Source organism: Homo sapiens, chromosome 5 (assembly GCF_000001405.40).
Source record: "Homo sapiens chromosome 5, GRCh38.p14 Primary Assembly".
Classification (NCBI taxonomy): domain Eukaryota; kingdom Metazoa; phylum Chordata; class Mammalia; order Primates; family Hominidae; genus Homo; species Homo sapiens.
Window position 1 is genome coordinate 16667316 of NC_000005.10, and position 14391 is coordinate 16681706.

The window sequence follows — 14391 nt, forward strand, 5'->3', positions numbered from 1 at the left end:
CTGGGATCTCCATTAGCTCCCTCCCATGATGTCCCCGTCATTGCCACCCCTTCTCACAGCTGGCCTGGATCCCTGTGCAGGCATCATAACCGGCTTCCATATCCCTGTTTGCTCTCTTCCCTTCCAGTCCCACCCCAGAGATCACTGTCTGTAAATTCACTGTTATGCCATGCACAATCAAAGATCCCACAGTGGTTCCTTGTTGTCTACTGGATCTCACCAAATCCTGCAGCCTGGCACCTGGGACCCTTGAGTCAAGGGCTCTCCACCCTCTTCCCTCTCACTGCACGACTCCCCATCAGCCTAGGGAACCTACAATGCCACATCCTCCAAGCAGCTGGAACGCCCTCCTCAATGCCTCTCCATTCCAAACCAGGCAGCAGGTGATTCCTCTCCACTCACCACGTTGACTTGCTAGCTGTTCCCTTTGTGGAAGCCTCAATAAGCTTCTTGTATTATATTTTTTAAACTTGGAGGCTGGTAGCACATATATTTAGAGGCCTTTTAGTGTGTGTGGTTTCACAATCCAGAATGAGCTGCACCCAGGATGGTCATGCTCCCGGCTCCCTCCTGGTCTCAAGAGGCCACCAGAGCCGAGTCTCACAGCTGTGACACCGCTATAATTGCTAACTAATTTTCATAAGGTTTTGTTGCAAATAATATACTTTTTCAGGGACATCTATGTCACTTCCCTTTCTCTGCCTTTCCTCCAAGGGTAAGACTCCTTGGCAAAATGGAACCAGATTCCTCTGTTGCAAAAGTATACAAAAAAAATATGGTGATCTCAGATTTTGGCCTGCAGGGAACCGGCAGCTGGAAAGGGACCACCACACTGTATTTTCGTGTTTTGAAGAAAAATATTCAAAGAAAATGACCTGGTCAAAGGCATGAGGAAATGGGGTCCTGTTTTTCTGTTTTGTCAAGACCATGAATAAAAAGATGAACTTGCTTTGCCTCTTACCTCACTGGTTTCAAAGAGCAGCTCCCTCTCATCGACCACGATCTTATACGTATTCGCCAGGGGTGCCCCAAAAGAGAGGATGTGTTCATACTGGAAGACTTCCAGTGGTCTTCCCTCTCCACGCTTGTAGACGGAGACGGCGTCCGCGCTGACACCCAACCAGAGTTCCTGAGGGAAGCCACCTTCCTTGCACTGGTGGGCAAGAGTCAACAGAAGAGTTAAGTCATGAAGTGGTTGGCAACAGAAAGCATCTAAACCATAAGACAGGCTTTGAGTGAAGTCCTCTGTGCAGAAGATTAAATATATTCGATGTGCATGCATGCATGGAGGGGCCTGAAATATGAAAAATGGCACCTCTCTGGCTATCTTGATTTCTAACTAGTTAATCTCACGCTTTTGGGAAAACCTCACTAACTGGCAGAGTCTAACATCTTGCTTTGACTCTCCACTTCTCAGCATTATTCTACTAGCTGTTTGGATTAGCTACGTGGAAGTGGCCTGGAAACGTACATGCTTGGCCGGGGGACTTAAGGAAGCTTCCCTGCAACCCAAGCCAAGTCTACTCTTGTATTAATATCTCCAGTTCTGCCTCCAATCCTCTTTGCGGATGGTTAGTCTTCAAATACAAAATCTAGGATCACAGAGGAAAATTCTCCAAATCACGCATGCTGAGCAGTTCTGGCTCCTCTTCACAAGGAGCAGCAATGGCCTTCCATATGCAGAGTGGGAACAGGGACTTTACCAGTTTAACTGTAGACTTTCCTGTACAGATTGGTGGAAGAAAATAAGACCCCATATGAAGGGGCTAACAACACAGGGCTGATCCAAACCTGGACAAGCAGGAGGGCTATAAATTGGAGACGCTGAAAAGAGTCTCTAGTTTATATCCCTAATAACCAGACATTCTCTGCATCCTCCATGCAAAAGCCAGTAGCTTTCTTTTTTCTTTTTTTTTTTGACGGAGTCTCACTCTGTCGCCCAGGCTGGAGTGCAGTGGCGTGATCCTGGCTCACTGCAACCTCCACCTCCTGAGTTCAAGCGATTCTCCTGTCTCAGCCTCTCGAGTAGCTGGGATTACAGGTGCATGCCACCACGCCCAGCTAATTTTTTGCAGAGATGGGGTTTCACCGTGTTAGCCAGGATGGTCTCGATCTCCTGACCTCATGATCCGCCCGCCTTGGCCTCCCAAAGCGCTGGGATTACAGGCATGAGCCACCGCGCCCGGCCAAGCCAGTAGCTTTCTATGCTAATTCACAGCTCACGTTTTGCAGGAAGCCAAGAGTTTAACTGCTATTATCTATTCCTTGTCAGGGAGAAATGGAATTATGGCTTTGTACAAAGCACCTGATTTTTTTATACTTAAAAACAGGCATAATTGAACCAACCAAACCAATCAAAAACATCACCTAATGAAAAGCCACCCACGGATTCTAGAATTTATAATATTTAGAATTTTATACAGCCTCAATATAAAGTCATCAGATATACGCTGAATTACTGTGATCATAAAAAATGGAAGCTAATCTAGACGATGAGCTGGCACACTTATCTGTTAAGGGCTGCATAGTAAAGATTTTTAGACTTTGTGGATCACATGGTCTCTGTCACAACTACTCAACTCTGTACAAAAACAGCCAGGGAATATATCTAAAGGAATGAGCTTGGCTGTGTTCCAATAAAACTTTGTTTAGAAAAAAGGAGGCAGGCAAGATCTGACCCACAGACCAGTTTGCCAAACTCTCATCTAGACAATTAGTAAGATTTCTTTTCAATAAGCGGTCTACTTAAAACAAAACAAAAATCAGTACTGGGTTGATGCCAATGGCTAAATTCCATTACGAGATAGACATTCTTCCTTTCAAACAGATGGCTGTAAAGAAAAAACAAAGTAAAATGCAAGTATATCCAAAGTTTCTAATTTGTATATACAGCTATAACATTTTTTTAAATGTAGATTTTTATCAGTGTTTAAAAAATTAGATCTATAGCTTCCCTAAGGAAGGGTAGAAGAATAGATGACATCTTAATTTTGCATTCATTCCTAATATTACAGATGTGTTTACTACACAGGAGAAGAGAAACTGTGAGGAGAAGGGAGGCGTTAATGGTACAATTCTGGGGGCTCGAATAAAAGAGGTTGAGAGAGCAAAATGCTCCATCTTGTCTTCTCTCCACATGAACTTGGCCGTGATCCATGTTCTCAGATGCCAGCACCCAGCCCACCCCAACACACGGCAGCCAGTTCTCACCTCCACATCAAACAGCGTCGAGCCATAGCCAGGCCACTCCTTGATCAAGGCCATGTACTTGGCCATGGCCTGTTCCTGGTTCATTCCCTGAAATTTCCTCCACTTGTCAATGATACTGGCTCGAGCAGAGGAGACTTCTTCCTTAATCCACATGTCCAGCATCTGCTCCTCCTCGACCTTCTGCCGGACCACGGATCCTGTCCGGAAGCTCCGCCTCAGGGTCCCCTCTAGGAAGCTCGTCCGCCTCTTCTCCAGCCGTTCACAAGGGGTGAAGGTTTTGGTTGACTGGCTGATGCGGGCCTTGAGTCTCTGCAGGGAATAAACCTCTTCGAGAGGTGGGATGGCAGCGTGCAGAGTATAATCCCCCTGCAGATACTGGAGTCGCAGGGCAGCAAGAACCTGGAGGTTTTCTTCCGGGGCTGGATGGTGGCCATGGATAACCGCTTCGTGGGCCTGAAAGGAGACAGTCAACAGCTTTCCGGTCAACGCACTGCCATGCCATGGGATGCCCACGTCGCTTGCTCCCTCACTTCATGAGGGTTTCTCTCAAACTCACCTTCCCTGACTGCCCTGGCTAAAACTGTACCCTCACCCCTGGCTCACTGCTTTAAATTTAATTTTCTCCCTAGCACAGATACCATCTAACACACGTCACATATTTTATTCCTTGTGCTCTCTCTCCTGTCAACTAGAACAGTCCCTGGAACGGAGGTTCAAATAAAATGTGTAGCAGGTTTCATTCTACAAACGAATGAAAGAGCAGCTGGTCTTGTCTTTGCTGGGAAATCCACAGGTGTGCCTCATTTCTAAGTACCAGTTAACTTACAAGGCTAAGTATTAACAGGTTTCACCCTTGCTTGCCGGCAAAGAAATCTGTTTCTAACTATTCCTTTTACCTGTTCAAACATAAATGCAAACTCCACACTGTCTTTTGGCACGTTGTCTGTGTCCAGGAAGCAGTAAAGTTTGAAGTAGAATTTCCATGGCAGGTCCCCAACCTCGGATGTGGCAGCCAGCCTACAGAGAGGAGTCAAGAGAGGCTCAGAATATGAACGAGAAGGGCCTTCAGTGACCCGCAGGGACCTGACTTTACATGGTGTATTCTAAGGACACAGACATTCTGTCCGGGCCCAGAAAACAGTGGATAGAGATGGGGATAGAGGAATAAACAGAGTGAAAAAACGTACTTTCATCCTGATTTTGCTTTAAGAAAACAAACAGGCAGCCCCTAGTTTAACCAGCTAACAAGTGTTTTCAGAGAGCCGCATTCGAATTAGTACCAGCTAAGCATTATGCTGAGTCCACGGGAAGAAAAGAAACAAAAGCCTGTTTCTTTATTACCTTTACCAAGCCTCAGATACATTATGATAACATTTATAAAAATTGATGTGAATACTCTTGTATGAGGGCTGTGTTTATACTAAGCAGGAATACCTTCGCGCTACTTCGAGGATATGAAGTCACAGATCAAATAGCGTAGGTCTACAGGCCAGGTGCAGTGGCTCACGCCTGTAATCCCAGCACTTTGGGAGGCCCAGGTGGGCGGATCACCTGAGGTCAGGAGTTTGGGACTAGCCTGACCAACATGGCCAAACCCCATCTGTACTAAAAATACAAAAATTAGCTGGGCGTGGTAGTACATGCCTGTAATCCCAGCTACTCGGGAGTCTGAGGCAGGAGAACTGCTTGAACCCAGAAGGCAGAAGTTGCAGTGAGCCAAGGTTGCGCCACTGCACTTCAGCCTGGGCAACAGAGCAAGACTCCATCTCAAAAAAAAAAAAAAGTAGGTCCATTTTATATTGTAGACATAACACATAGTTTAAAGAGTTTATAAGCTGGCTTCAGTCAATCAGCCCAATTTCAAAGCTAATGACAACTGGAAACCTAAAAAATCAAGAAATACCCAGACGGGTCCAACATGGAACTGAGAAAAGGAATGGGGTAAAAAACCACTGACAAGTTACATCACGTAAGACCGTAGCTTTATCTAGGAATCGAGAAAAATAGCGGATATGCAAAGTTAAACAGGCATCAACACAGGTAAAATAAAACTAACTCCAATACAGCGTGAAGCCACAAATGGAATGGGAAGCTCAAACCCTGAACCCTGCTCTGCAATTTCTCTTATTTGCTCTTCTGACACAGTAGGGAAAAGGAACCTACTTTTCAAACTTGGCTAAGACATCAGCTACGACGGTTCGACTTTCAATGGCTTTGTCGACGTGGCCGTTGTATTCAAACAAAGCAAACATGTTCCTGCTGTCCTCCATGGCCAGGCCTCGGATCAGCTTCTCCACCACCTGGAAGACACACCAGGGGGACTTCAGTTCCACAGGCTGCGGCCCCAACACGTGTTCCCAGAACGTGCCATCACCTGATCCCAGAGGGAGCTGCTGGCACAAGGGCGTCTCCAGCCTCCTAAAAATGTTACCCGTGTGGTCATCCCAGAATTTCAAAAGTACTATTTTCCCTTTGTTCTCTTGAGATTAGGTTTATCTCTTTCTTGCTGAAAATAACTCAGGGTATTTTGCCCATCGGTAGAGGCAGATGCTGGGCTGATTTCTTGCAAACCTATATTAACAGGAAAAGCGGGTGAAAAGCTTCAGTCCTGTCTTTTGGCTGATAAATTTATGAACTCCAAGGAACAACAGAGACTCCAGATGACGTTTTTTTTTTTTCCATAAGAAGCCTTGGGGGGTGGGGGTCGGGGTGGTGGTTATTGGATTACCACCCTTTTGGCCAACTGGTTTTATAATAGTAAGTTCAAATTTTAAAAAGAAAATGTGTTCATCTGATATTCATCTAGCTAGTCACGTGCAAACAAACACTTTGTTGCAGAAGCACTGCAATAAACCCTCATCAAAGTGGCTGGACCTGAGCCAGGTCTGCAGCTCTGCTAGACACTCAGCTGCTTCTCAGATTAGCAAGATTATGTCTCAGGTACTTTATCTCTGTGTTTCCACTCAATATATATATTTTTATCTCTATATTCGTGTGGTTGCTTCTGGGTTACATGCATTTCCTTAGTATTGAGAGCTGTACTAAGCAAACTGCAACTGTGCAGGACAGCCACTCTAATGCTGCACAATGTTCCTGACGCAGGTGTATCTGCAGCAAAGGCATCTAACAGAACAAGCAGCAGCTGCCTCTCCTCACCTCCCCAGCGGTGGTGTGGGAGTTGATGGTGATCTTGCAGGAGCCGCCGCCATGGCAATAGACCGTGGATGTCATTTCCTGCCTGTGGATCAGAGCTTCTATTTCATCTCGGGAAGGCACAAACTCTCGGCATTTGGTTTTCTTAAGAGATTCGTAAGTGAAGAGAGCGTATTTTTCCATCTCGCTTCCTGGAAACTGTTCCCGTATCCTAGGAGGCAAACACTAACTGTTAATTTTTAGACTGATGGGGGCTGGCTGCTGGGAGGAACTAGGCTGTGCCAAGGTTCTGTAGACCAAAGCAGTGAATGGTCCCCCACTGGTGAATGGAGCAAGCACCAGTGACTTCTTGGCAAGGGCCCGCTTCATTTTGTGCAGTTCAATTTAAATACAAAAAACCCCTAAAGAGCCAATGTCTCACTGGGAGCAACTGTGCTGCCAACTCACCTCTGCAGCGTTGTTAATACTTGAAAGAGTCATGCCTCATCCTATCATATGAAAATTCTTGGCCGGGCGCCGTGGCTAACGCCTGTAATCCCAGCACTTTGGGAGGCCGAGGCGGGTGGATCACCTGAGGTCAGAAGTTCGAGACCAGCCTGGCCAACACGGTGAAACCCCATCTCTACTAAAAGTACAAAAAATTAGCCAGGCGTTGTGGCGGGCGCCTGTAATCTCAGCTACTCAGGAGGCTAAGGCAGGAGAATCGCTTGAACCCAGGAGGCAGATGTTGCAATGAGCCGAGATCATGCCATTGCACTCTAGCCTGGGCAACAAGAGCAAAACTCTGTCTCAAAAAAAGAAAAGAAAAGACACTTCTTTTTCTATAGCTAATCAAAATCTCAATTAGATTGTTTCTATCTCTTTGATCTGGAACAAATATCCAAGTTTTTTTTTTTTTTTTTAAATATAGAGCAGTGGTAATTAATTGATCCAATGTCCTATACATTAGGACATTACACCAACGGTGACTTGGTCCCTGAAATAACCTTGTGTGACTTAAAAAGGATGGCAGCATTCTCTAAGCTTGCTCAGGCAACCCACAAGTCTGACCCAGAGGTCCCTGTCCTACTAGAGGTGTCTTCTGTTCAAAAGCCTCTTTATCTGAACGAGGACCCAGTGCCCCACCTGTGTAAGCAGCTCTGCCCAGCTCATCTCCCGTGCCCCCATGCTTTACCTTTTCAGATGGAACTTGAGATACTTGAGAATCCCTCGACTCGGCAGGAAGGTGCAGCTCAGGCATGTCAGGATCTGCCAGCTGTACAGGTTGCCCACACTGCCGGGGTGGGGCACTTTGTTGGTCTGTTTGATAAGCTGGCAGTACAGCTCGTCCCGCAGAGGTCGCAGGTCATGCCCTGTCTGTAGGATGCCCTGGATTATTGGAATTGGGTCAGACATGGACTCCAGTTGCTGCAGGGAATTGAATATCTTGATGGCCTCATCCTGAAGGGTGGTATAGCCTTTGTCTTTGAGCACTAGGACAAGCAAAACAAACACGGAACTCATCTGAGGGGTTCAGAATAGGGCATGAGCATAATCGGAGCAGTAGTCAAGACAAAGGAATAAATGAGGAGGACGGATGCAATGCCCACCACACTCCCTATACATCTCAATCAGTTGAACACAGATCTAAAAGCACAGAGGTGGGTAAGTTGACACTGTTTTGTTATCTAATTGAACTTCTTACCACATAAAATGCTTACTTAAAAGGTAATCTGTTGCTGAACAAAATCCTTTTTTGGAATGCAAAATTACTTAGGATCTGGTTGTCTGGCTACTCGGCCAGGTGCAATGGCTCACACCTGTAATCTCAGCACTTTGGGAGGCCGAGGCAGGTGGGTCACTTCAGGCCAGGAGTTCAAGACCAGCCTGGGCAATATGGCGAAACCCTGTCTCTATTAAAAATTCAAAAATTAGCTGGATGTGGTGGCGGGTGCTTGTAATCCCGGCTACTTAGGAGGCTGAGGCATGAGAACGACCTTAACCTGGGAGGCAGATGTTGCAGTGAACCAAGATTGCACCACTGCACCCCAGCCTGAGTGACAGAGTAAGACTCTGTCTCAAAAAACAAAAACAAAACAAAAGGCTACTCTCAGTTCATGGGGAGAGCTGGCATTTTCTGACTCCTTTAAATCTCTTCTTTTACTACAGCAATCAATCTTAGCATTACTACAACCACACTCTAGAAGTCTTGCTTTAATAATGAATCTAAGTATATTTCATCTTTTCCTTCCAATTCACGACGAATAAGAGAGTCTTTGAGATAAAAACAAATGCTTCTGTGTTAAGCTAAAGAGTTAGCAGGGCAAGTGGAATCATGGTCTCTGAGGAGTCGGGGTGGAGCTCTGGACTTACAGTTGAGATTTATGTCCCCATACGGAAGGGGCAGGAGCGGGGAGTGCAAGGGGTGATGGGTGTATCGAAGGATCGGGTTCCGCTTGTAAATCTGTTCCACCACATCCGAGTTCAGGCAGTTCTCCTAAAAATAAAGCAAGCAAGCTTATTGTAAGAAACCTGTATTTTCCTACATATAAATATTTTTCAAGACTCTCAAATATCCATAAACCTAGTGGGGCAAAGATGGTGGAAATCCAGTGTTAGGTGGTTTCATGGACGAAGATACCCATAATCTGTGTTTGAAGACAAATCACAAAAATACATTCTTACAGCTCATTTCTTATTTTCTCGTGCGTGTACTTCCCCATGTGATTTTAAATTTTCTCCCCTGGAGATTACATACATTTAAAAAATTTCATCTCAGCAGAGCACGGTGGCTCACACCTGTAATCCCCGCATTTTGGGAGGCTGACGCAGGTGGATCGTGAGGTCAGCAGTTCGAGACCAGCCTGACCAACATGGTGAAACCCTGTCTCCACTAAAAATATGAAAATTAGCCGGGTGTGGTGGCTGAGTAGCTGTAATCTCAGCTACTCATGAGGCTGAGGCAGGATAATTGCTTGAACCCGGGAGGCGGAGGTTGCAGTGAGCCAAGATCATGCCACGGCACTCCAGCCTGGCTGACAGAGCGAGACTCCGTCTCAAAAAAAAATTTAGGCTGGGCACAGTGGCTCATGCCTGTGCATTTTGAGAGCCAAAGGCAGGAGGATCACTTGGGCCCAGGAGTTTGAGACCAGCCTGGGCAACATAGTGAGGCCCTGTCTCTATAAAAAATAAGAGAGCAAAATAAAAAAAATTAATCTGATCTTCTGTTATTGATTTAGCCATCAGTAGCTAAATCATGTTATTTTTATCTATAGTTCATTTCATAAACACATTTTGCTAGTTCTTGAATTGCTGTTTTCTATTCTCTCTATACCTGAAAACTACACACATTAATATATTCTTGGGGAGACTGTCCTTCCACGTGCCACCCTTGAAACCTAAGAAAGTCTTTCACGGAATTTCTTCATCATGTACCTATGCTCCTAAAATGGTCATCTGGATATGAAAAAAACAAAGTTACTTTTAGAACCTTAAATAAACAGAAAAGTTGGAGGAGAGGTAATGAATCATTCTATCGTGGTAATTTCATTTCCACTATAAAACTTTTTCAGTAATATCCAATTGAAGGCCATAAAAATTTTTTAATTACTTAAATAATTTATATGGACTGATTTAGGGTAAGTTGACTCATTTCTTAAGAAGCATGGCTTTGTATTTGAAAAATTATATTTACTCTTTTAATGTCTAAATTCAAATTGATTCAAACAATTTTATGGACTTATTTAGGGTAACTTGACCTTTTTTTTTTTTTTTTTGAGACGGAGTCTTGCTCTTTCGCCCAGGCCGGAGTGCAGTGGCGCTATCTTGGCTCAGTGCAAGCTCCGCCTCCCGGGTTCACACCATTCTCCTGCCTCAGCCTCCCGAGTAGCTGGGACTACAGGCGCCTGCCACCACACCCAGCTAATTTTTTGCATTTTTAGTAGAGATGGGGTTTCACCGTGTTAGCCAGGATGGTCTCAATCTCCTGATTTCGTGACCCGCCTGCCTTGGCCTCCCAAAGTGCTGGGATTACAGGCGTGAGCCATCGCACCCGGCCAACTTATTTCTTAAGAAGCATGGCTTCATATTTGAAAAATCATATTTACTCTTTTTTTTTTTGCAGACAGAGTTTCGCTCTGGTTGCCCAGGCTGGAGTGCAATGGCGTGATCTCGGCTCACTGCAACCTCTGCATCCTGGGTTCAAGCGAGTCTTCTGCCTCAGCCTCCCAAGTAGCTGGGACTACAGGCACCTGCCACCATGCCCAGCTAACTTTTGTATTTTCACAAGAGACAGGGTTTCATCATGTTGGCCAGGCTGGTCTCAAACTCCTGACCTCAGGTGATCCACCCACCTCAGCCTCCCAAAGTGCTCAGATTACAGGCATGAGCCACCATGCCCAGCTGAAAAATCCTATGTACTCTTTTAATGTCTGAATTCAAACTGAAGAATACAAAAACAGGTAAGTTCCAGCACCGAAGACTGAGTGTGGCTGATACATGATAGTTTTACTCCTTTCAGAAGAAATCTTCAAAAAATAAATTTTTTAAGGCTAAAAATGAAATTATGTGTAGCCAGTGCCCTGGGTTGCATGGAAAACAACCTGAATCTGGTTCCAACTGGGCTGGGTGTGGTGGCTCAAGGCCAGTCCCAGTGGCTCATGCCTGTTATCTCAGCACTCTGGGAGGCTGAGGTAGGCAGATCACCTGAGGTCAGGAGTTGGAGTCTAGCCTGGCCAACATGGTGAAACCCCATCTCTACTAAAAATACAAAAATTAGCTGGGCGTGGTGGTGGGTGCTTGTAATCTCAGCTACTCAGGAGGCTGAGGCAGGAGAATTGCTTGAACCCGGGAGGCGGAGGTTGCAGTGAGCTGAGATCGCACTACCGCACTCCAGCCTGGGTGACAAGCAAGACTCCGTCCTCCGTCTCAAAACAAACAAAAAACAACTGGCTTGCCAGAATCTGGTTCTAAACACCTAAACACCCAGAGAACATACCACTTTGGAATCAGGAGGCCAATTTGATTTTGATGGAAAATTATCCACCACTGATGGATTAGATCCTCTCCCACCTCCACAAAAACTGAGTTCCCTCTTGGATCTGGTTAGCTAATTTCCTTTGCCGTCCATCAGTAAAATACCTGCCTCACCATCATTCTAGCACCTTCTCTGTCACAGCCCCAGCTCTGTCCCTTGCCCTGGGAATCTGCCTGCAGGACTGCTTGGAGGGCCAGCAGTCTCCCTTGACTTGGTTCTGCACCCGGGACTGACCGGCTACGTGGGCAGTGCAACCAGAACATCCCCCGTCACCGTTCCATTTCCGGAAAGTGAGGGTAAGAATCCCCGCTCAGGGCTGCCATGCAACCATTCATTCCTTCATCTCACATAGATTTACTGAGCGACTACACGTACTTATAAACAGCAATTTGTAATGTAACATGCTCGGTGTTAATAGAGAGACTCAGGAGCTTCTGGAAGTTTGCACGTGCCTGAGAGGGATGCCAAGTGTTCTTCTAGACCACCCTGGGCTCCTTGGGAATTCACTCGTGTGGTCTGGAAACTGTACAGTGACAGTGGAACTAGCCGGTTACTCCTAGAAGGTCTCCAACTGAGGCTGAGGGAGAACCTGACGCAAAGCAGGTGGTCCCCCACGCAGGTCACCACATCCCCATGAGCAGGGAGCCCCACAGTGCAAGCTGCAGACCTCATCCTTCTGCCCACAGAACCCAACAGGTGGGATCGGGTGACTCAGCGAAAATGTCTAACACTTCCCTAGAGACAAAACATTTTTGGTCTAAAGTTTCTCATTTAGATTCCCGAAAGCAGGGTACTCAAACACAAATTTAACCAAGCGCTAGTTTTTTGGGTGTTTTTTTTTTTTTTTTTTGAGACGAAGTCTCACTCTGTCACCTAGGCTGGGGTGCAGTGGAATGATCTCTGCTCACTGCAACCTCTGCCTCGGAGGTTCAAGCAAGTCTTCTGCCTCAGCCTCCTGTGTAGCTGGGATTACAGGAATGCGTCACTACACCCGGCTAATTTTTGTATTTTTAGTAGAGATACGGTTTCATCATGTTGGCCAGGTTGGTCTTGAACTCCTGACCTCAAGTGATCCACCTGCCTCAGCCTTCCAAAGTGCTGGAATTACAGGCGTGAGCCACCGTGCCGGCCAACCAAGCACTAGTTTTGATTACAGAAAAAAAACTGAGCTTCACTAATGCTGAGGTCTTGGTGCTCTAAGGGTAGAATCTCTGAGCTGTAATCACCCACCTTGATGGGCTTGTCTTGGCTTACCTTGATATCTTGAATCAGCTGCTGGGTGGGGGTGTCGATCGGGGCCTTGGTGTCAGTCACGTTTTGAATGGCACTGGACCACCGGGTGGCCTCGTTGAGCAGCTTGGTGTAGAGCCGGTAACAGTGCTTGCGCCCGTACACGGTGACGTTCCAGTAGCCTGCAATGGCAGGGGTGCCCAGCACACGCACGTCAACGCCAACCTCGGGGACTGAGGCAATGCCTGTGTCCTCTCTGACCTCAGTCCCTTTAATTATTCAATTCAATAGACACTGGCTTAATTCCTACATGTGTCCTGTCCTGCCCTGCACTAGGTATCTAGTGATGAAGAAAAAAAGTGTCTCTTGCACTGTGACATTTACAGCTGAGATGGGGAGATGAGTATTAGAACAATAAACCCATCATTAAATATATAAAGATAAATGATAACTGGCTCTGGAAGGGAAAAGGGTAAGTTAATGTCTCTTTTTGGGCTCTGGAACAGGAGTGAAAACTCTCTCTGATTTCTGACTTTCCTTCTTACTTCCTATTTCTTCCTTTCCTTTCTTTAGCCTCTCCCTTCAGAAGACAGCACTTGGCCTGGCAGTGTGTGAGTTCAGAGGCAAGCTGTCCGAACCGTCACCCAAACCTGACGCGAATGGAACAACTGTGTTACACAGAAGCACAAGATCACAACCAGCAACAAAAATCAAAATAAGCCATCTTCTGGAAACACTTTCATAATACTACAAAAATTACAAGAAACCCTCTAAGTTACCTGTGTACTTTCTATGCTACTAGGCTAAGTTCATGGACAGTCAGGATTTATCTTTTACAGGTTGCATAGGACGCTCATCGTACAATGATGGAAAACAGCCTGGCCCACATGGCAAAACCTGGTCTCCACCAAAAAGTATAAAAATTAGCCCGGTGTGATGGTGCGTGCCTGTAGTCCTAGCTACTCCTCGGGAGGCTGAGGTGGGAGGATTGCTTGAGCCCTGGAAGGCTGTAGTGAACCAAGATTGCACCATTGCACTCCGGCCTGGGCAACAGTGTGAGACCCTGTCTCAAAAATGAGAAGAATGAAAATTAAAAGGATGAAAACAGTATATGAAAACCAAGCTTCCCGTACGATGCCCTGCATCTGTTGACATTTTCTTGTCCTTGCGAGAATCTTCCTACCACTCCATGAATCGACCTCTAGTACGGCTTAAACACTAAGTGGTCACATAGCTAACCCCAGACAGGCTTAGAAGATAAACCAAGAGGACAACTTCTTTGGGGGGAAATAAAGTACACACTAGGAAGGAATCTTATTCCTTTGCCCGGAGCAAGCCCAGACTTTAAGATTTGATGCTCAGGGTTCGGGCAGCCAGCCTGGTTACCTGTCTCTTTGAATATCTTCTCATCTGGGGGGACGACAGAGCAGAGGCTGTTGAGGACCAGGGTCCCCAGTTTGAGCGCGTTCTTCTCTGAACTCTTGTAGTAATCCAGGGAATTGTGGGTGAGTACAAACCACCGTTTCTTCAGTTTCAGTGAAGACATCTTTGGACTGTTCTTCACCTCTTTGTGCAACCATCCTGGAAAAAAAGATTAAAGTGTAAATTAAAATCTGTGAGGAGAAACCCCAAAGACCACACAATCATCTGCATAATGCTAACACATGGGTGGGGTTTCTAGCTGTTTGCCAGAAAAAGACCACGAACACCCCAACCCGATGTAAATGGAACGACTACATGAAAGAAAAGCCCAAAATCACAACTAGCAACAAAAAACATGACCC

At 46.0% G+C, this 14391-nt stretch overlaps 1 protein-coding gene across 5 annotated transcripts in view; it reads right to left on the reverse strand.

Moving 5' to 3' along the window:
- MYO10 (myosin X) overlaps positions 1-14391 on the reverse strand; it is a 274382-nt gene that overhangs the window by 5409 nt on the left and 254582 nt on the right. For all 5 annotated transcript variants that reach the window (XM_006714475.4, NM_012334.3, XM_005248307.3 and 2 more), the window contains 9 exons: positions 13994-14188; positions 12632-12789; positions 8716-8839; positions 7538-7835; positions 6367-6574; positions 5374-5510; positions 4107-4227; positions 3211-3663; positions 962-1153 (listed from right to left, as the gene is read on the reverse strand). In XM_006714475.4, the coding sequence (XP_006714538.1) occupies positions 962-1153; positions 3211-3663; positions 4107-4227; positions 5374-5510; positions 6367-6574; positions 7538-7835; positions 8716-8839; positions 12632-12789; positions 13994-14188 (1886 nt within the window). The remainder of the gene's footprint in view (positions 1-961; positions 1154-3210; positions 3664-4106; positions 4228-5373; positions 5511-6366; positions 6575-7537; positions 7836-8715; positions 8840-12631; positions 12790-13993; positions 14189-14391) is intronic.